Below are 24,065 nucleotides of genomic sequence, written 5' to 3' on the forward strand. Positions count from 1 at the left end.
TTGTAAACCACCTAATTAATGGCCATCTGAGTTAGTCCCTAGAATAAATTAATCTTTAATTAATATTATTCTTCAATCTTTAAATTACTCATTTTAGAAAGCTGCTGATGTTAAATGTAAGAAGGTGGTTATGACATATCCTCCATGGTCCCCCAAAGCTGGGCTGTTTGCTTAGGGGAGGGGGATGAGAGAAGTCACTCTCATCCCCACTGCTTCTTAGACATCCCTCCTCAAAAACTGGAACTTTGATAAAATAGCACAATTTTTTTAGACAGAGTTGAACTATTTATTGTTGGTTTAGCACATGGCAGCTAAAGTCTCCAAATTAACTTGTAGGCTCTAAACATTTATCTAGGTTTCTTAGGGCTGATTGTCAGGTTAATGGACCACCTGGCACCTACAAACATAATAACCACTATCAAGTTCCATCTTTCTCACATTCTTTATTCAGACTCCATTTTTCTTAGATCTTACTGTTTGGGTACCAGTCTTCATTGTCAACTATGTTAACACAGATCTCATTAATGTTTCCAATTACATCTTCATTCATAAATCTAAAAGCTTCATTTCTATGTGGCTATTCATGGGTGTCTGCACTGGTCTTCATATTCATCCACTCATCTGTCAATATGTTTTTAACTGTAATTTTAGAGACATCACAATTCCCTGTTTTTCTGTTCACATTTTCAAGTATCCTTTCTAATATTCTTTGCTACCTCTAGTAATGAGTTGTCTCTGAAAGATCAGTCTTATTGTTTTTCTCCTTTTACATGCATTTACATTTTCTATTGTGTAAATTGCCTTCTCAGTTACTTATAGAATGAATGACAATGACTATACAATTTTTCTTTTTTTTTTTTTTTTTTTGAGACAGAGTCTCACTCTGTCACTCAGACTGGAGTGCAGTGGTGCAATCTCGGCTCACTACAAGCTCTGCCTCCTGGGTTCACGCCATTCTCCTGCCTCAGCCTCCCTTGTAGTTGGGACTACAGGCGTCCACCACCACACCCAGCTAATTTTTTGTATTTTTAGTAGAGATGGGGTTTCACCATGTTAGCCAGGATGGTCTCAATATCCTGACCTCATGATCCACCCTCCTCGGCCTCCCAAAGTGCTAGGATTACAGGCGTGAGCCACTGCACCCGGCCGACTATACAATTTTTTATCACCAACCATCATCCTTTCCTTCATACTCTATTCAGTTCTTCACAGAATATATTGTTATGATTTCTCCATGACTTCTCAGATTCAAACTTTTTTCTTGAGTGTCTTTGCCCAATCCTTAACCATTGCACTTCACCAGGAAACAATGAGTCTGATTATCAACCTCTCCATACTCCAGACAAAACAACGTGCATTTTTCCAACCCATCATCTGTTCGCTAGACTAGCACTCTCTCCGTCACTGGATTATGAGCCCCCTTGAGATCAAAGACCAGGTTTAATTCATTTCTGTATTTTTGGCATTGAACACATTCTTTGGCACACTTCTGTTGATAGAACATTGGAATAATTTAAAGTCATCAACTCTATACATGAACGTGTAAAAAAAAATCTCCTTCTCCAATGAATCATGTTATGTTTGTGCACCTTTCTGTAGAAAATGGAAACGTTTAGTAATCTCATGTTTCCTGTTCTCAGGATTACTCAAAAGTAAGAAGAAATTCAATCTACATGGAATTTGCTCAGCCCTGTATGTCTACTACTCTAGTTATCACTGAATCTCCTTCCCTCAACCACTTTGGAATCAGATAGGCCTAGAATTCACTCTCAGCTCTGTCACTGCTAGCAATGTACAAATATAGAATTCACTTTCCTCCTTACAACTACTCTTTAATGTAGGTTCTAAATTATCTTTTTTTCAGATGAGGAAATTAAGGCACAGAAGTTGAGTAACTTGCCCAAAGTTACATAGCTAGTAAGTTGATAGAGCCAGTGGGAACATTCTCTATCAGAAAGTGCTTTATGGCGGGTCAGATCTGATCATTGTAGATTGACTCAACTGATTCAAAGAAATCCATTTTGCAAGACTATTTTTAAATTATTTAGAATTCTGAGTGCCCAGAGGAAAGGAATGTTCATAAAATTCCTCAAAAGAAAGTTACCATGGAAATTGGCTATTGATCAAAATGGTTGATCATCTGCAAAGTTCACATTTAATGAATTATTTTTCTTTTACAGTTTTTCAAAAGTTAAGCCAAATGTCATATCTGCCTTACTACTTTTTTAGGAAAATTAATCTTTCATAAAAGATCAAATGCTGCTGTGCTGTCTCTCCTCTTCGAAGAAGTTGATGTGGTATTTGTTATAGAGGACGCATTTCATTTTAACAGATTAAAACAACTTGGAGATGCCCTAACTGTGTTCCCAGCTTACCTCTGACTCATAATGTGACCTCAGGCAGAGTCATCAATCCCCAAACCCTGGGAGGCAACACAGTTAAGTGGAAAGACGATGAATTTGAAATTGGAAAAGAACTTGCACTGAATGTTTGCCCTTCCTTTTACTTTCTATGAGATTTTGGCTAAGTCACTTTGCCTAGCAAAGACTTAGTTTCTTACCATAAACTGTTATTATTATCCACTTCACTTTTGAAAAGAAACAAATGGAGTCACAGGTGAAGATTCTGGCAGGTGTTAGGAACTCAATAAATGTGCGTTTCTTTCTTTTCTTCAGACTCAATGACTATTGTACAAGACCACAAGAATACTTCTGCAGAATGTTACTCCACAGCCTTATCAGCCACCATTAGTACATTGGGAATGGCAGGTCCAGTCATCATCTTTATGATTTAACTCTTTTCCAACATTATACAGATCTAATGCTAAACATGCAAACATGGCCTCAGTGTATTTTGTAATGGCTCTCTTTGTTATATCTTTGGAGGAATTACAATATAGGAATAATAAGTGCTTCTCACAATTTGAGAATGTTGTGATATGTATATTTTTAAGGTTACAATTAGATGCATTCTTAAAGTACTAATTGCAGAAAGAAATTCAAATGCTGTTTTAGAAGCTACAGGAAACATGGTTAGTAACAAAATAAAGAAAACCAAACAACATCCAAGCTGGGGGAATCCTAGGGCAAAACACCAGAAGAAATAGAATGAAATTCAGAAAAACAAATTTTGGACTAAAAACCAGGAAAATAAAGGTTAAAAAGGGGAATATTACAACACAGAACAATTTCCAAGAGGAAAAAGAAATAAAACATTGGTTGACTCATAGCAGGGTCAACCTTAAAGAAAGGAAAATGCCTTAAAACAGGAAAAAATAAGCTTTTTATATACCTTATTGAGTTCTTATTTTTCAGAACACGTTTCATGTCTCATTTTAGAACTGTAACTTTCCTATGATCTTTGAGTGGTTAATACTGTTCAACATGAATTTTGCCATTTTGCATTTATTAGCAGGTCCAAATATCCACCCTACCCCCATCTGCAAGATTTCTGACAGTATTTAAGTCTTTTCCATGTTCACAGAAAACTTCTTTATAAATGAGTCATTTTTTTTTTTTAGGGAAAAAAATATTCTCACTGCCAAATTGTAGGGTTGAAGAAAAGAATACAGAATCAATTTAATTTTCCTCCATGATTCATAGTTACAAAGCTTCAGGAAATATGTATAGCATTGAAATGGAAATTAAGGAAATAAAATCCCCAAATGTGCAAGGGTCACCAACTATTCTGTGCTCAATTCTAATCATGTCATAAAATATTCTGCCAATCTAAATATACACATTTTTGCAAAGTAGTGAGGAGGGTAGAGATATTAGTTTCCTTGAAATACTCTAAACTTAAAAATAAGAATAAATTCCAAAGAAATAATTTTGGATGTCACCCTCCTTTTAAAAATGTAAGAATGTGATTTAAAGTTTATTCCATTAAATAATTTTCTTCAAAGATTTCCAAAATTCCAACAGATAGTCTTGGGTACACAGCCAACGTAACTAGGTAACCAAAACCAAGTGTGTATTTTTAATGTCCACTGTGGAATCTTCTAGTTGTTGTTGGCAGGCTTTATAGCTCTATGCAATTAAATTTCAAGAAAATTAATAAATCTCTGTCATTCTATGTATAACTAATATAGAAACTAGTTTGCTACTTAACCCAACTATTAGTCAAGTGGTTTATATGCTTTTACTGATTGCTTAGATTACTTCATTAATAAGTTCCATTAATATATGTAAAATTACACCTGAGCTAAGTGCTATGAAAGAACTACACTGCTATGGGAGGTGAAGGGCAAGCAGTTGGGAGTTTTTCTAAGAGACAAGGGAATACTAAAGAAAGCACAATGCCTAAGAGGAATTCCTCCAATATGCCATGCATCAGGAAAAGATATACCATATCCACAAAGCCAAAAGAGAGAGAATAAGCAGAAGCAAGCTGAAAAACATATTGGAATGGTAGACGAGGTTATCTGCACAGCTCGTGGGTCTTACAAAGGACTCAAAAACATTTCTACTTCAAATTAAAGAAAACTACATTAACTATAAATGAGATTTAGCCTAAATCTAATCCTCTCTCATATAGGAAAGGTAAACAGTGGATAGATAAATATAGAGCAACATCATCCAGTTTCCTATATTTCCCTTGAGCTAAGCACATAAATGAAAAACATTGCCTACCTTTGACAAATAATCTCTGCAGATAGAACTAGGTCCTTAAATTCACAGAATTTAATTAAACTTTGGTAAACTGCCTTATTCCCTGAATTAGGTTACACTTAAACTTATACTAAGCTTATTTCAAAAGGAGAATGTACAACTTTCTAAGGTAACTTAAACCATCTTTAGTAAATCTTACTTCCCAACATAAATCTCTAGTAATTGTGCTTTTCATACTCAAAGAGAGGCGATCAATAGCTAACCTCATTTCCTCTCTTGCTGTCCTGCTACATTTTTTCCATAGTACTTAACACCATCTGATGTTGTGTGTGTGCATTTATTACCTATTTCTCCCCAGTAGAATGTGAGCTTCAAAATGACAAGGTTGGGGGGTTGTTTTTTGCTTTTTTTTTTTCTGTTTTGTTCATTGCTATATATCCTTAGCCTAGAAGAGTGCCAGGAATACAGTAAACACCCAGCAAATATAGGTATATGACTGAGTGAGGAACAGAATAAATAAGCAAACAAATCAATAATTACTGAGTTCAACCAGTTATCACCAACCGAGAACTCTAATAGTAGAAACAGGCCTACATTCACATGCACAAACTTATCTTTAAAATCATAGATGTTAGATGCGTCAGTGACCAATTCTTTGAAGAATTTAATATACCAATAACATTGGTGTGTATATATATACATACATGTCTACACACATTATTATATATACTACCTATAATATATATCTAAGTAATCTATTTAAGTGACATGTGAGATAAACATGGAATAATCTACATACGACTTTCACAGAAGGAGAATGTTGAAGAAAAATGAATTAGCTGGTCAGGCTCATCTCATGGGTCCTACTTGTTTTACTAACCATTCAACCCCTGCCAAGATACTCCGCAAGCCTGAGAGCTAGTTTTCCTCCCTGTCCTCTTTTTCTCTAGCATCATTCTTGAATATCTGAAAATAGTATCTCTTGTTTGGATTATACGCAAATTCAGTAAACCCTCCCTCATAGGCTGTCTTCTGAGTTTTAAATGCTCCCAGTTATGCTCTTCTGAATGAATTCCAGTTCCTGCATGCCTCTCAAGTGTGGAGTCCTAAACCAAATCCAACACTCCAAGAGGCAGGACTGTCATTTCTTTCAATACAGTTGTCATATATCTACTAACTATGCTAAAAATTATATCAGCCTCTTAGGCAGCCACATTTCATACAGCGATGCCTTTTCACCAAGGTTAAAGCTTTCTCTAGGAAAGCCTTATAAAGGCATAGTTTTAAATAACTAAAAAAGCAATAAACTGCCCAAGGGTAGGATAGTTCATTTGTAGTAAATGGTTCATATTTTAGCTTATTAGTGAGACAAGAGACAGAGAGAGAGAGAGAGAGAGAGAGAGAGAGAAACACATAAAATAAATAAATAAATCTATTTGCCAAGGAGTTCAAACTGAGGTGAGAGTTCAGGTAGACACTGTTCTATCTAGAATGTATTTCATATACTTTGTAAGTAAGCCATCTCTTGTAATTCTCTTCTCCAAGCTAAATAATAGCCATTTCTTTGGCCTTTAATCAGCTGTATCCCATTTTCCAATTCTTTAATCTTCATGGCATTCAGCCCCAAATTCCCAACAGCTCTTAAACTGTTGAGTCCACAACTGGCACCATGTTCAGTTAAGGGTCTGGAAAAAGGAAAGCATAATAAATAAGCTTATCTCATAGGCCTTACTTGTTTTTTTAATTACTCACCCTCAACAAGTGTACTCTGCAAGCCTAAGGGCTGCTTGTCCACCCCGTCCTCTTATACTCTATCACCATTCTTGAATATTTCAAAGTAGCATCTCTTGTTTGGATTATACCTGAAGTTCAGTGAATCTTCCCTCACAGGCTGTCTTCTGAGTTCTGGCCCACTCCAAGTTATACACTTCTGAATGAATTCCAGTTCCTTCGTGTGCCTCAAGTATAGAGTTCTAAAGCAAATCTAACACTCCAGAAGCAGGGCTGTCATCTCTCTCAATACAGATGTTATGCATTTACAAACTATGCCAAAAAATTGCATCAGCCTTTTAGGCAGCCCTATTACATACATTAATCCCTTTTTCATCAGCTTAAATAACATCTCAAAGACAAGTAAGACCCATACATTTATTCCAGTTGAATTTCACTGTAAATAGCTCATTTTCTAAGTTCTCCAAATCTTTTTGGATCTTCATGTTACCTCAAATGCAAAAATAAATTCCCAGTGAAATCAAGACTTAATAGGCATTAAAGATCATAATAAGATAAATTAACATACACGAGTAGCTAATGCTAAAGAAAAATAACACTGGAACTAATAAAAAGAAAACATTACATTCTGGGGAAATTTTACATTTCTAAAAATTAAAAACAAAATTATAAACCAGATTAGTAGTCAGAAGAAACATTTACACCATATATAGCAAAGAATTAATTCTCTTAATGCATAAGATCTTATTGGCCCATATGAAATATACCCTCACTCCTATAGAAAATAGGCAAAGGACAAGAAAAGATACTTCACAAGAAGAGAACTCATCCTAAATGTCAGACTTCTATATCCATCTGCCTACCTAAAATTTCTACTTGAATGACTAACATATAAATTTAAACATTGCCAAAACCACACTCCTGATTTTCCTCACCCAGTTCTATCTCCTCCATTCTCCCATGAATCCATAGTCTCCTTTGACTTCTCTCTTTCTCTCAAACCCATATCCAATAGATCAGCAAGTCCTGTTAGCTCTAACTTCAAAATATCCCCCAAATGCAAGCAGTTCTCTTTACCTCACCACTATCACTCTGACCCTAGCTGCCATCCTCTCACCCCTGGATTGTTACAAGAGCCTCCTGACTTCTCCTTCTGTGTTTGCGCTCATCTTCCTAAAATCTACTCTCAACCCAGAAGCCAAAGTAATTTCTTTTAAAAATAAGTTAAATCACATCGGTCTCCTACTCCAGTTACTCCATTGCTCACTCCAACTGAAAGCCAAACTCATAACAATGGTCTAAAGAACTCTATGCCATCTTCCCTTCCTTCTCCTTCCTCCATATCCAAATTGATTTCCTATTAACCTTCCCCCAACCAGTACTTCATATTTTTGTGGTTTCATCAGTCACGTAACTTTGAAATTCCCCACCTGTGATGACCTCATATTAAACCTCATATTTCTATGAGGTTTAATGCTCCATAGAAGGCTGCCCCTGTCTGCACCTCTAGTTCACTCAGTGGCACATTAAAGAGTTGGGGGAACTGGCTGGGTGCGGTGGCTCACGCCTGTAATCCCACTCTTTGGGAGGTCGAGGCGGGCGGATCACGAGGCCAGGAAATCGAGACCATCCTAGCTAACACGGTGAAACCCCATCTCTACTAAAAATACAAAAAATTAGCAGGGCGTGGTGGCGGGCGCTTGTAGTCCCAGCTACTGGAGAGGCTGAGGCAGGAGAATGGCGTGAACCTGGGAGGCGGAGCTTGCAGTGAGCCGAGAGCGCGCCACTGCGCTCCAGCCTGGGCGACAGAGCGAGACTCCATCACACACACACACACACACACACACACACACACACACACACACACACACACAAGAGTGGGGGGAACTGAATCACGAACTGTGACCCAGTGACCAATCCACTCTTTTGTCTATTGGTAGCAGTGAGCTATCAGTTTTTCCAACTCACTTCCTGAGCCCACTAACATAGAAAATCATCTCTAGAATTTTACAGCTTAGTCTACTTCTCTCTTAGCCAATATGATGGTCTTCATGGAATCCTAGAATATCAGATTAGAGAGAACCTAGGCCTCATCTGGAACCATCTTCTCATTTTCCAAACAGAGAAACTGAGGCCCATAAAAGCAAAGCAGCCTATGCTCAGCAAAGAGTAAAACAACCCCAGATCTCTCTAATGATCAGCTTGGGCTTTTGCTTTAGTAAAGTACTTTACTTCATAAAGAGTAACTCGGCCGGGGGCGGTGGCTCACGCCTGTAATCCCAGCTCTTTGGGAGGCCGAGGCGGGTGGATCACGAGGTCAGGAGATCAAGACCATCCTGGCTAACATGGTGAAACCCCATCTCTACTAAAAATACAAAAAAAAATTGACCGGGCGTGGTGGCAGGTGCCTGTAGTCCCAGCTACTCGGGAGGCTGAGGCAGGAGAATGGCATGAACCCAGGAGGCGGAGCTTGCAGTGAGCCGAGATCGCTCGGCTGCACTCCAGCCTGGACGACAGAGCAAGACTCTGTCTCAAACAAAACAAAACAAACAAACAAAAAAAGAGTAACTAATGATAACAGAAACCAGAAATGAGCACTGTAAAAATATAAACTTCTATAAACTCATAAGCTAGTGCTATTTCCACATATGGCCTTCTTTAACAAATCAATGTATAAATCTCTGTAATGCCTTCAGTAGCTGTACTCCTCTGAATTACCTGGCAGGATATATAAATATTTCCCCTACCTCTTTTGTAATGTTAAAATTGTAAAGCAATAATATATTCAGACACTGTGATAATAGAGGTTATTTAACTGACAAAGAACTGAGAAAGAAATGGAAGGATCTGAAATAGCTCTTTAATTTTGGTTGAAGGCACTTTTCAATTATGAAAATTAGTATTTCTCCAGAGTGGAATAATTTCCTATTTAAAGTTTCAGTTGGCTTGGCCTGGTTATAATGTGTGAAAGAGATTCAAATAGCTTATTGAGGGGGGTTGCACAGAAACAAGTCCAAACAAAGCAGAATTCCCTTCAAATTGTTCCTTCCAAGTTTCCTTGGTCCAGATGGCTCCAATAGCCAGCCAGAGGCCCCACCCACACCTACCCACTCCCACTGGGTGCTGGCCTTGAACACATACTAATGACCCTCAGCTGTTTTGGCTCCCAGGCTTGCTTGTTCTTCCTGCCTGACCACCCAACGTCACATTCCCTACAGAGGAAAAGAAATATGGGGGAAGTAGGGAGACACTGCGGGGAGGGGCTGGATATTTAAGAAAAAGTCATACCTTTGGGAAGACAGGATTTGGGCTGATGTATCAGTTTCCTACTGCTGCTATAACAAATTACCCCAAACACAGCAGCTTAAAACAACACCAATTCACTACCTTACAGTTTCAGTGGTCAGAAGTCTGAAAGGAATCTTAGATAAATTAAGGTACCAGCCAGACTGCATTCTTTCTGGAGGCTCTAGGGGAGCTTCCCTTTTCCAGCTTCTAGAGGCTGCCATTGTTCCTGGGCTCACGATTACCTCACTGTGCTCTCTGCTTCCATCACAGACTCTCTTTCTCTGACTCTGACACTCCTGCCTCCCTTTTATAAAGACTTTTGTGTTTATATCTGGCTGCCCAGATAATCCAGGCCAATCTCCCATCTCAAGATCATTAAATTAATGATATCTGCAAAGTTCCTTTTGCATGTAAAGTAACACATTTACAGGTCTTAAAGATTAGGATGTGGACATCTTTGAGGGACCATTATTCTTCCTACCACAGTTGTGTTTTTCTTTGAGACTACTATCAGATACTACCATAGTTATCTATATATAAAATCATACACACAGACACCAAAACACATACATGTACTAAATGAGATGAGGCAATAAATAATTCTATTATAACTTAGTCAGAGTCATAGAGTAATATCCATGAGTATTATATCAGGCTAACAATAATTCACCTCCAGTGCTTCATGCATGGGAAGATTTTTTTTTTTAAACAAAGAAAACCAAGGGCTGATAGCCTGTGGAAGGCCTGCTCAGCACTCACTTCCAAACATTACCCAGGATTTTTTTATCACTAAAAAGAAGACCTAAATAATTTAGCAGTGCCATCTGGGAGCTCTGTGTCATTATTAGGCATGAGCAGATGACATCAGTGTGTGAACTGCATTGGCTCTGGAGTCAGTACAGCACTTCAGCTGCCAGTCACAGAAAAAGTAGGTCCCAGGAAAGGGGTCTGCAGGCTAAGGAGGCTCACATTTATAAAACTCAGCTCACCCAGTGTAATTAGGGCGAAACTCACATAGGACCTCAGGGAAGTATCTTCAGTGAGATTAAAGAATTGCAGTGAGGAAATGCAATAAAGTCATATGACATCTTAAGTAAAAGTGAGAAAGGAATGGGTTATAAGGGAAATTATAAGGCAAATGTTGGCATATAATGGGGGTCGAAGATAAATACAAAAGAGGAGAGGTTAGGTTTGGAGTCTATTCCTTCAATTCAATTTCATTCAAATAGAAGCTGTCTTATGATAATTCCCTCAATTAAATTCCCCCAAAATAGCCTACTTAGCTATTTCAGTGCTATCAGCTTGACTTCTGTCTCATATAAAGATTTAATTGCCCACACTCTCCATCCAGGCCAAGCTCTACTTTTCTAACTAGAATCAACGCCCTCCAACCTGCCTATGGATTTTCCTCCTGAAAATATCCCCTATCTTCCAAACTTTCATTTTTTTCTTTTGCCTCATTTTCATCATTATAAAAACATGCTACAATATCTCCCATTTTTTAAAAACCCTGACTTTAAAACATTGCCCCAATTCTACTGCTCTGGGTCTCTGCTTCCTTTTATATCTCTCAGAAAAAAAAAAAATCTACATTCACTTTCACCATTTTTCTTATCTCCCTCTCTGTGCTTAATTCATTTCAATCTGTTGTTTGTACTACCCTCCCTGAAATCCTACTCATCAAGGTCCTCAAATACTCCTGTGTAGCAAATCCATGGTCTAGTCTAGGCTTCATTCTTCTGGATCTCTTGACAACAATAACACACCTAATAGGATGACACTTCCCTGGTTTTCCTCCCATCTCACCGATAAGTCCTTCCCAAATTCCTGGGCTGGACCCACTTTCTCTTTTTCACCTGTAAGAGAGCCCTGTGGTCAGTCCCCTGCCACCTTCTCTTCTCTATTTATTTGTATTCACTTCCTAAGTGATCTCATCCACTCTCATGGTTTTGCATACATCTGCATGAAAATAAGTCCCAACTGGCCACCTCCAACCTGTCCAAAAATATAGTCCCAATTCCCCCCTGCTATGGTTTGGATGCTTGCCCCCTTGAAAATTCACATTGAGATTTAATTACTATTGTAACAGTAATAATATGTGGGGCTTTAAGAGGTAGTTAGGTCATGGAGACACTTATTGTGGGAGTGGGTTAGTTACCAAGGGAGTGAATTCTTGATAAAAAGGATGACTGACCCCCTTGTTCTCCTGCTCACTCCCACTCCACTACCTCTCACTCACACTCTCATCTTGTGATAATTTCTGCCAAGACCTTGCCAAATACTAGTGTCATGCTCTTGGACTTCCCAGCCTGCAGAATCATGAGCCAAATAAACCTTTCTTTATAAATTACTTAGTCTGTGGCATTCTGTTATGCAACAGAAAATGGACTAAGACATGTCTATAAAACTTCTGTCTCCCCCAGTCTTGCCCAGTACAGTAAATGGCACCACAATTCACCCAGTTGCTCAAGCTATACTCCTTTGATTCTTCTTTGATTCCTCTCTTCCTTTCATATCCTATATCTAAATTTGCTAGCAATTCTAGTCAGCTTTCCATTAAGAATAACCCAGAATCTGACTACTTCTCCATTCTCCCACCGTATCACCCTAGTACAAACTACTCTTACCACTCACAATCATGAAACAACCTCCTGCATAGTCTCCTTTCTTCTACTCTTGCCCCCATATAATCTACTCTCCAAATAGCATTTATATTTATCCTTCTAAATCATAAAACAGATCAAATCACTGTCTTTCTCAAAGTCCCTAAGTAGATTGCCCTCACACTCTGAATCCCTGTGTGTCAGCTGAAAAAATGCTGCCCCAACAACCACACAACATCACCTTAGCTCTCTGCATTTCCAGGTGGCTACCACTTTTGTTTACCCCTTCAGCCTCCCTACTTTTTAAGAAAAAAAAAATTTCCCCAAGTTTGCTTTCTTTTTTCTTTTTTGAGTTCAGGGGTACATGTGCAGGTTTGTTACATAGGTAAACTTGTGTCATGGGGATTTGTTGCACAGATAATTTCATCACCCAGGTATTAAGCCTAGTACCCATTAGTTATTATTCCTGACCCTCTCCCCCCTCCCACCTTCCACCTTCCAATAAGCTCCAGTGTGTGTTGTTCTCCTCTATGCGTCCATATGTTTTCATGATTTAGCTCCCAGTGATAAGTGAGAAGATGCAATATCTCATTTTCTGTGTTAGTTTGCTAAGGATAATTAACCTCCCTTTTTGGATAATCTTTCTCTAGAGAGGTTTACCTGTTTATCCATCCTCTTCCCATGCAGCACATTTCCCTAGTATAAAAAGCCTCAGCACATTACTACTTCTTCAAAATCTGGCTAGTTGTGGTTTTTTTTGTTTGTTTGTTTTATTTCTTGTTTTTTAATTTCTTAGGAAATCTCTCTCAGGAACTTAAGCAACTCTTTCATCCTCATGGTTAAGGTATTGATGATTTCACATTATATCTATGGTTCTTTCATTCCTCGAACAATTTTGATTCACAATGTAAACATTCCCACTCTTTCGTGGTAAGAATTAATGCCTCATGATAAAGAAAATCTCAGGAAATGCTTCATTTTGGTGACAATTATAATTTGACATTCAAACATTCAAAAGCTAATTCCTTTTCATTTTATTTTGAGACAGACTTTTGTGCTGTCACCCAGGCTGGCATGATCTCAGCTCATGCAGCCTCCGCCTCTCGTGTTCAAGTGATTCTTGTGCCTCAGCCTCTTAAGTAGCTGGGATTATAGGTGTGTGCCACCACACCCAGCTAATTTTTGTATTTCTTTTTTTTAATAGAGATGGGGTTTCACCAAGTTGGCCAGGCTGGTCTCAAACTGCTGGTCTCAAGTGATCCACCCACCTAAGCCTTGTGAATTGCTGGGATTATAGGCGTGAGCCACCATGCCCAGCCAAAAGCTAATTCTTCGTGTTTACTCTTATAAACATGCTGATAGTGACTTAACTGTAAATATTTGCCTAAAGTGCTTTAAAGTTGATTTATGTTCCCTTTACATCTCTAAGTTTCCTTGAGCCTTAGAGGATATTGTATTTTTTAGTCAGACTATAAATATATCCCAGTGTATACATTATTAGGAAAATAACATTACCTTTAAAAGTGTTTTTAATTTGAAAGCTTCCACAGATGTGCAGAGAAAAGACAATAGAATTTCTAAAACCAGCCCTTCATGATACTGAGAACTCACTGGACAATATTTTCTTTGCAGCAAAGATGTATGCAATTTTGAAGTAAGATAACTAAAAGCTGACTAGAACACTAACTCTCTTCCCAAGCTGGCCTTAACATTCTCTTCAACTTGACTAAACTTAGGCAGCTTTCTTCCTGACTGTGGATCCCTGACCTCCCTTTTCCTTAGAGCATTTGCTTTAGAGGACTTAAAATTGTAAATTCCTTCTCTGCTCCTCTGAAATGTAAATACTCTAAAAAGCTACTTGTCAATTTTATAACCCAGAAATGTCTTTCTCAAGGACCTGAGAGCCACCCCTTTGAAATGTAATCATCAAGGAAGATAGTGTCCCCACTATCTTCCAGTCTGTGAGGGAGGGTGTGTACCTAACTTTGATGAGCACCAATTAGTAAAGGGAGATGGCCTGATCACAGAGGAAAACATTTGCAAACTGTGGAATAACTCAATGTGCTTAAGCCTATACTGATCAACCTCCCATCTAAAGTCCTCTACTACTTTTCCATTAACTTGTCCTAGTGCTCACACACCCTAGCTCCTTTCGTTCCAACAGAGTTGAGTTCAGTCTCTCCTTCCTATGGCAGCAGTCATGAATAAAGCTTTCCTTGTCTGTTTAGATTTGCTCAGCAAAACTTTTACTTTGACACTGTAATCCCAGATATACCGGAGATGACTAAGCTTTCAGTACTCACAGGCTTACCATCTTGACCAGGTTGTCCAGGGTAGCCAGGGTTCCCAGGCAGTCCAGGGTCACCCTAAGCAGGAAGCAAACAAACTTTTGAGTACAAAACAACCAGCCACATTGGTGCAGTCAGGATCAATAAAAGTTCAAAACCAATTCCATTATTTGAGGTTTTTTGTATGTTAAAAACAAAAGTAAAAAAAAAAAGCCATATTTTAAATGCTTACTTAATAAATAATGCATTTTATTATACTGAACTTTCAATGATTTATTTATGTGACCACACCAAGTATAACTATAGCAAGTAAAGTATTTTCCACTGATGCAAAATATGCACATTTATGGTAGGATACATTTTTAGAATTCTGAACGAACTGTAAAGTGACATAGCAAATATGGTCTCCATGATAGCAATATTTGACTCATAAGACTTTTTTTTTTTTTTTTTTTTTGAGATGGAGTCTTGCTCTGTCACCCAGGCTGCAGTGCAGTGATGCGATCTCGGCTCACTGCAACCTCCACCTTCTGGGTTAAAGAGATTCTCCTGTCTCAGCCTCTCGAGTTGCTGGGACTACAGGCATGTGCCACCATATTCAACTAATTTTTATATTTTTAGTAGAGATGGGGTTTCACCATGTTTGCCAGTCTGGTCTTGAACTCCTGACTTCAAGTGATCTGTCTGCCTCAGCCTTCCAAACTGCTAGGTGAGCCACTGCACCCAGCCTATAGACTTAATTATATCGTATAGGTTCTACATATATAGATATCGATGTCCTATAATACAACTTAACTCATATTTATTTTAAAAATAGTCTGTAGACCATGTGATCTCTCATGTAGAATTCAAGTTTAAAGCTGCATGACTATCATTTCTTTCAATCCTGTAAGTGTGTTGCTGTGTTACTGTCTATACTTGCAATCTCAGATTAACATAATATTACTATGAGAGCAAGGCCCAGGCCAAACAACCCTATTCCAAGTCCCATAATTCTTGAATACATGTAATATTTAAATGAAGAAAAAAAACTTTATCCTCAAAAACCTAAGATCTTTAAAGAACACTGTTTAATACCACATGGCAATGAGCTCAGTCACACTCTATGGAACTCTTGCGTGTTGCCCAATGGCCAGTACTGACCATTCAGATGGTCACCATCCATGTAAAAAAAACATGAAAGCAACACTTTTTGTGAGGTGAGGGTGTTTTATAATTTAATTCTAAAAAATACTAAAAAATATCATAGGTATCTATCTCTGAATTCGTGAAGTCTAAATGGAGCATCCTGCTGAAAAATATGAAGTCACTGCCGTAAGTATCAGGGTGTTCCTATATAGATGCACATGATTTCTATTAATTCTTCACTCGTGGGTTTTTTCTTTTTTTTTTTTCTTTTTTTTTTTTTTTTTTTTTTCTGAGATGGGGTCTTGCTTTGTCACCCAGACTGGAGTGCAGTGGTGTGATCACAGCTCACTGTAGCTTCAACCTCCCAGGCTCAAGTGATCCTTCCACCTCAGCCTCCCAAGTAGCTGGGGTTACAGGTACAAGCCATCATGCCCAGCTAATTTTCATATTTTTTGTAGAGGTGGGGTCTCATATGTTGCCCAGACTGGTCTTGAACTCCTGGGCTCAAGTGATCCTCCCTCCTCAACCTCCCAAAGTGGTGGTATTACAGTTGTGAACTACTGAGCCTGATCTCTTTACTATTTTTTATCAAGAAATCATTCACATAGAAATCAGTCACCTACCCTGTGATTAAGGGTACTATTACAGAGCCAAATTTCATGGAAATACTACTTCAGACTCCTGGCTAGGGAAATTTGTTCCTGAAACAACAGGAAAAAAAATGGAAAGAACTAAGTGAACTCTAATAAGGAACCAATAAAGCAGGGATGAGCTGTTCACTTAGCAGCTGCCCCCCAAGAGGCTTAGCTTGAGGAAAGGCTTGAGAAGAAGGGAAATGTCATTTTTAAAAGACAGAAAGAAGAGCCGTAAATCCAAGGGGGGAAAATAATGCTGAACCATGTAATGTCTCGCTGAATAAATGTAATTTGTAATTCTAATCCAAGGACTTGCAGTGGTGGCTGGGCATTAGGAAACAACTTTCTGTGTCTCTAGGGAGTTAGAATTTCTCTCTTGTTTTGAGAAGGTGCACATTAATCTCCAGCCTCCCTGCCATCCTTCCTTATCCATGTGCTGATTGGACTTGCTGCCTTTCAAGAAATTCCATGTTTTTCTTTTCCCTGGAATAAATTTTCCTCTTTTTCCACTCTAGAGTTAATAAGAGAAAATTATCCTCACTGCAACTTTCTTACTCCATTTTTTCCTGGTGTCTTTTTCTACTGAAATGCTATGATAGCTCTTAAATCACTTATTCATAACTAGTGTTTTCTCAAAGTTTTCCCTTGGTTAGTCTTCATTTATCACTTGGATTGAGACTGTAGCAAAGTCTGAATTACATTTTTTTTTTTTTTTTGAGACGGAGTCTTGCTCCGTCACCCAGGCTGGAGTGCAATAGCATGATCCTGGCTCACCACAACCTCCACCCCGCAGGTTCAAGTGATTCTCCTGCCTCACCCTCCCAAGCAGCTGGGATTACAGGCATGCGCCACCATGCTCAGCTAATTTTTATAATTTTAGTAGAGACAGGGTTTCGCCATGTTGGCCAGGCTGGTCTTGAACTCCTGACCTCATGATCCATCCACCTCTGCCTCCCAAAGTGTTGGGATTACAGGTGTAAGCCACCATGCCTGGCCTTACTTTTTTTTTTTTTTTTTTTTGGTACAATGCTGGGTATCAAGTAGAGATTCAATAACTACTTTTTGTCTGATATGCTTCAAATACAATCTGTCATTTACCCACTCATTTGTAGAATATCAATTATCAGCAAAACCTAAGATATCAAAAGGATTTGACAGGGTTTAATCTCTATCATCATCAGGCTGAAATAAAAATTTGGCACGGAAAAGGGACTTGTGCTTTTTATGCTGCATACAATTATAAAAAAGATATTTAATAATAATGTTTTCAGTTAATCAAAATTAAGTTCCCAAATGAAAAAATTACCCACAAGATAAATCCAATGTGACTTCATAAAGACTGGTCAACAGTCTTTATGACACTGGTCAACAGCCCCAAGAAGAAAATAATTTCTTGTAGGTTCTGCTATTGCTGTTAGATTTTACTGGTTATTTTGATTATTGCTGTCACTAAGTTATTCGCAAAAACTCAGGTAGGTTTGGTATTGTTCCTATAAAACTGGAAGAATAAAGTAAAATCCTAATTAATTTAGCTGACTGGAGAGAAAGCCAATTTTATTACTGTTAATAAAAGCTGACACTCAACCTTTATTGACTGTTATGTGCTAAGCACTGGTCCAACAGATTTGCATATATTGAGTTAGCGAATTCTCGTAATAATCCTATGAAGCAGATACTTTTATTATTCCCATTTTCTGTGTAGGAAAACTGAGGGCCAGGAAAGTTAGGTAAGTTGCCTGAGGTCACACAGCAGTGATAGAGATGGGATTCAAATCCAACCAGTTCCACTCCAGGGTCCAAGCTCCTAAACACTACCATTCCTGTCCACAATAATACACTGATCAGAACCAGACTGAAGAATGCTAGAAAATTTAATATGGAAAAAAAAATTCCCCAATACATTAAATTAGACACATGACTTATTATTATAAAACTGTGACTAAATTCCCAATCCACCTTATTCTAATTTAGTTGAAACAATTGTACATTTTGAGTTTTCAAAAATATGTACTCAGCTGAAAAGCAGTATCTATTTATGTTTGTTTGAATTTGTGCCACAGGATTTTTAAGTTGTTGACAGGAGTGGAAATGTCATGGACTAAACTAAAACATCTCTGAATATGGTCTCTTAAGTAATGTAAATATAAATAAAGTAAGAAAAAGTTATGTTTATAAAAATAAGCTAATATTTTAAGTTGTTCATCCAAGGCAAAACTTTGGAATACTTCATATAAGTCCAAATACGACGTTTGTAAGCCTTCATTTCAAAAAACCTTACGCCTTCATGCTACCCCTCTGGTCTCCACAAGAGCATCTGACCTAAGACCTATTCCATTCTCGAAAATCAACCTCTTTCCTCCCTCAGAACCCAAGTACCACTCCCTGAATCTAGGAGGACTCTACTCAGTCTGAAAAATTTTAACATAAAAATGTAAATGCCCTTGGCCCTTGAAATTTTCCAAAGGCTTTTGTGTTTAGACAGAGGGTACCTTGATAGTCCCAATGAATCTCTAATTGGCAAAATTACTAGGGTGTAACAAAGGCTATCAACAGAGATATGGCTATAGTAAAATGGTATCTCAGAGCAAAGAAGTTATTAAAAAATTGTCCTAACCTAAAAAAGACAAAAATGTCTTCTTTCCACTTCTGACCTAATACATCTAACGTTTCAGGTTAGAGCAAATGTAGGAGTTTGTTACCACAACTGTTCCTCTGGCTACTGAAGCAGGGGAAGAAGCTGTTATTTGCATGCACGGGTCATTTGAAAGGAAGTTATCTGCAAGCTGGGGTGGACCTGGATCTTTCTCGCAGAACAGAAGCGCGTTCCATATAGGTTAAATGGGGGGAGGGGTGGATCTTATTGTTTTGACAATTTCACAATTCCTTTAACAAAAAGTATTACTATTAAGCACTGTGCCAGACTGGAGTGCCAAAGGAGAATTTTCTTTTTATTAACCTTTATTGTGAACAAAAGAAGGGCTTGCATATACAAATGATTCCAACGGATTCATTAATCATTCCCTATGTTTATCATTAGGGATAAAAAATAAGCCATTCTTCCAGGAGATTACAGTCTAGTGACAGATAATTTTTTGATGCCTGATAAAGAGTTACAATGACAATGATAAGTCTAAGTGTGGTGTACCTTGTCATTTTGACCTGGTTTTGCAACAGTGTTGTCATATTTTCCAGAAATCTAAAGAACTTTAAAAAAAATAACTATCTTAGAATCAGCACTTCCCCATTTATCAACACAAAAATTTCTCCTCTGTTTCAGTCTCGACCCCGCACTCATCTCCTAAAACTCTATTTCTGGTTAATAGAAAAGCTAGATCTGTTCTTTACAGGTCACTCGATTTGATGGACTTCTGCAAACCTTTCCAGAAAGCATATAACAAAAATGGCCAATAAGCCTCAGTGGAACCTAAAGTAAACTTGTCTCATCTGTTTTAATTCAGGTTCTGTTGAACTAATTAAAACCCTATCAACTTTCAAAGCCAGAAAAGAAGTGCAACTTAGAGTGTTGCTAGGGATTCTGTTTTTTACATACAGGTCCATGTTCTGGGTAAGGAACCACTTCCAGGATAAAGAGTCCTAAATGGATGGAAGAGTGTGTGTGTGTTCCTGTCCTCCTGCCAGATTTTCTGAAGAAAATGGAAAGCAGATCAAAAAGGCACGCCAACTTGAAGATTGGTGGAAAACTGCAATTTCACTTAGAGTAGTAGGTGGCAATAGGGCTAGATTATGACTAAGAAAAGAAAATGAAAATGAGAAACACATGAAACTTGGAAATATTAAAAAATTAGAGGCTTCATCAGATAAGACAATGGGTGTGCTAAAAATTTCGTGTAGAAAGTACATGAGTAAAAATAGGTGACACTACAAGACATCTATTGGACCACAAATGACAATCAGAAAACAGCAGAGGCTTCAGGTGCCTCCCAAAAGTGAACAGCCCCTTGGAGACCCTGGAGATGGTAGAGGTGGCTTGAACCTCACTGAGAGTCAGAAAAGCACTCTAGGCTTTGATAGGTCAGACAGCATGGGTCTCTAATTTCTACATTATATCTCATGCAGGTCAAATTACTTTTATGTATAATATTCCAAGGTGAATAAATTATATGAACATATATATTTTTAAAAGAATCTACTGGTAGGACACACCAAGGTGTCTTCCAGGTTATATTCTCCCAGGAGAATTTTATAAGTATTTCTCCTTTATGTCAAGGCATCTAAAATAATAGACGGTTACTTTAAAGATGATTTGAATTAACTCTTCTAAATGCTATCTAAAAATAATTCACAATAATACACTGATTATCATGTATGGCATTCAAATTTAAAGCCAGACAGAGATTTACTTTGAATGACAGATCAAATGTATACTTCTTAAATTCCATATCTTTCTTTATTTTAATGGTTAGGCCTGAAAATGAATAGAAAAACATACATAAAAGATAGAAAGAATTAAATTATCTTGGACCAGCAGAAAATTCAGAAAATTCGCTAATCAGAAAATTCAGTCTAAATGAACATTACGATTCATATTTAACAAAAATGATTATGGTCGCTTCAAGTAAGAGGTGATCAATACACATAAACATTATCTTTTTGCTTAGGGAAACATACTTGCTTTCAAGTTACACATTATTTTATTTAGGTGATATTTTAATATAATGTTAAGTAAACAAGATTTATATATCATGGACAAACCACTACACTTCTTAGTGTCTTACTTAGGCTGTGTCTAAGTGATGCCACAAGAAGCACAACTTACTTAAAAATTTAGCCATTTGCTGGGCGCGGTGGCTCACGCCTGTAATCCCAGCACTTTGGGAGGTGGAGGCGGGCGGATCACGAGGTCAAGAGATCGAGACGATCCTTGCCAACACGGTGAAACCCCGTCTCTACTAAAATACAAAAAATTAGCCGGGCGCAGTGGTGATCGCCTGTAATCCTAGCTACTCGGGAGGCTGAGGCAGGGAAATCGCTTGAACCCGGGAGGCGGAGCTTGCAGTGAGCCCAGATTGCGCCACTGCACTCCAGCTGGCGATAGAGCAAGGCTCCGTCTCAAAAAAAAAAAAAAATTTAGTCATTAATATTAAATTGCATAGAAAAATATTCAGAACATATTATGTATAAAACAACCGGTTATAAAGTAGTACGCACACAATGGCTCCGATCATATAAAAATGTATATGTACATTTGTATACAAATCAATATGTAAATGTAACTGGAACAAGCGCATATATAGAAATATGGAAATGACTAAAAGAATATTCTCCCCAAAAGTACATGATTAAGTGAAATAAATGTATGTGGCTCTATTTTTGAACTAGATATCAAACTCACAATAATAAAATCAATTTGAAATTTCTTACTTCATTTTTTCCATCCAAAAATTATTTTGACAAATTAAGAACTGAGACATTTAAGAATTCAGACCATGTCTTCACAAATGCCCTTTCTTCATTTTTTACCAGATTGTAAGGAAGTATTGTTCTTGGGATCTAGCAGCAGTATTTGGGGGAAAAAAACAACCAAACAAATAATACTGTCTCAGTTTAATGTGGATGACAGATACAGTTTTGGGTTCAAAAGGTATCCTAATCTAGGCTAGAATACACTTGTTTTTCTAGAAAAAAAATGACTAAAACTGAGGTTTTAAACTCTATAAGAAATCAGATAGAAATTTCTCAACAGGATCAATGGTGATTAGGAATTGTATGGTTTACCCAGCTCTTGTTTGTGTGTTTTAACAAAAACAGCAAGTTAGGTGTTACCCACTTTGGGGCCTTGAAGTCCTGGTTTTCCCGGAGGACAAATACAGGGAGCTGGAGTTGAACCTACATCACTGGGACCATTAAGGCACTATAAAGACAAAAATGGAAACAGACAACAAGCATGGAAAGACATATAAGTACATGCACACGTATGTTTATGCATTTATATATTTGTGTAAAATGGCAAAAATATCTTACATTCACTTTCAAATTTTATCTAACCCAACCCAATAGGAAATTCCAAATCACAAAAATCTATAAATATTAAATACATTGAAGTTACATAAAAATGGGTTCCATTTGTCTAATATACATACTTACAGTTGTTGGAAAAGAGCTAAGTGGTCCCACAATACAAATATTACCTTAAGGGGAACAATAGTATCCAAGCCTACCTCTCCATTCTGAAAGAAAAACAACAAATGTGTTTTAAAATGTTTTAAATAAAATTTATAAATTATCAGCCTAATTTACAGATATTTCACCATCCAGATTAGAGATATATGAAGTATGAAAACCAACAAAAACCAAAATATTTCCCTGCATTTATCCTAAAAAGTCACCTATCTATACATGTTACTACTCCATTCATATAGGAGAATACAGAAAGGATATATTTTTTTAAGGTGAGTAGAAGAAGAAAATTAGAACACCAGAGCTGCTTGATATAATAGCCATGCAAGATTAAAAAATACCTCCAGATGAGATTTATATGCTGTCTTGAAATTTTAGGAAATCATTTAAGAACCAGAAAAAAAATGTTGAAACACATCTGAGGAAGTCACAAACTGCATGCATTAAAATCTTGCACTTTAGGAGAGCTTCTCCTAAAATAGTCTGTGTTTTATTAAATAACATACAATTTTAAAAGGAGAATCATCTTTCCAATCAATAAAAATTAGTTCAAAAATAAGAAGGTTGGATTGAAGGTGCAAAAGGCAAACAGGCCACAGAAAGTCACATCTGAGAGTAAGGAAGGAGACATTAAAACATAAAGTGGAAGGGAGAATTCAAAATCAGCTATCTAAAGCTGTGCTTCATCATATGGAAGGATAATGGTAATCATCATATGTCAATGCAGAGACATCAATAAATGAAGTATGCACAATGAATTCTCAAATGCCATAGCTTATTAACACTTTTAAAAGAGATTTATCTTTCAAGTTATAAATATCTAAAACTATAGTGCTTAAACAGTTATTTATCTAGAAAACCCAGAATAAATCCTTTCTAGAAAACTCTGTTTGATTACAGATCTTTTAAATGTGCTGTTCTGTGTCTTCAAGGTTTTAGAACATGTGGATCCATACGTTATTCCATTTGATGGGAAAAAAGAAGATGATGACAACATAACTACACACATTTTAAAAACTATGGTTGACTCAAATATCACTGGGAATTTACATTGTCAAAAAGTTGTGCAACATTCTACCATATTTCCACTAGCAGTAATACACCAATATTTTGCCCAGGGGAAAGGGGATTGATTACACACACACACACACACACACACACACACACACACACACTCCATGCGATGCTATAATATTTTAGCTCATAATCTTTTTCCTCCTAACACATTAATGAAAATAGCTAAATAAATAGAAACGCTGCTTATATTCTAGAACTATAATAAATTTTTACTTAAATATCAACAACAAGAAAAGTATCTATTCATTATTTCACTGACACTTTGAGAAAAAGTGTCAGTGAAAAGGAAAAATAATTATTTCTTGCTCTTCAGAACTGTGCTGTTTGGGGTGTTCTGTCCACATGTTTAATGTACATTATTATATTGTTATATTATATTATACATGATTATATTAAGTATAATAATGTATTTCACACACTGACATTCAAAGCATCCTACATTTTTCTGGAGCAGGTCTCATCTTGCTTTACCTGAGCACTGGAATAGTCATAGTCATAGACGACGGGGAAAAACATTACTGACAGGGCGTGGTGGCTCACGCTTGTAATCCCAGCACTTTAGAGGGC

At 37.3% G+C, this 24,065-nt stretch overlaps 1 protein-coding gene across 12 annotated transcripts in view; it reads right to left on the reverse strand.

The window, feature by feature from the left end:
* COL21A1 (collagen type XXI alpha 1 chain) overlaps window positions 1-24,065 on the reverse strand; it is a 337,539-nt gene that overhangs the window by 85,762 nt on the left and 227,712 nt on the right. For 9 of the 12 annotated variants that reach the window (NR_134851.2, XM_011514924.3, XM_006715223.2 and 6 more), the window contains 3 exons: window positions 22,463-22,471; window positions 22,072-22,155; window positions 14,536-14,598 (listed from right to left, as the gene is read on the reverse strand). Coding sequence is in view for 9 of the 12 variants with exons in the window: in XM_011514924.3 (XP_011513226.1) it covers window positions 14,536-14,598; window positions 22,072-22,155; window positions 22,463-22,471 (156 nt within the window). In the remaining 3 variants the exon portion in view is untranslated. The remainder of the gene's footprint in view (window positions 1-14,535; window positions 14,599-22,071; window positions 22,156-22,462; window positions 22,472-24,065) is intronic. The other 3 variants (NR_134849.2, NR_134850.2, NM_001318752.2) reach the window with 2 other exon arrangements.

The sequence above is a fragment of the Homo sapiens genome, chromosome 6 (genome assembly GCF_000001405.40).
Source record: "Homo sapiens chromosome 6, GRCh38.p14 Primary Assembly".
Taxonomy (NCBI): Eukaryota; Metazoa; Chordata; class Mammalia; order Primates; family Hominidae; genus Homo; species Homo sapiens.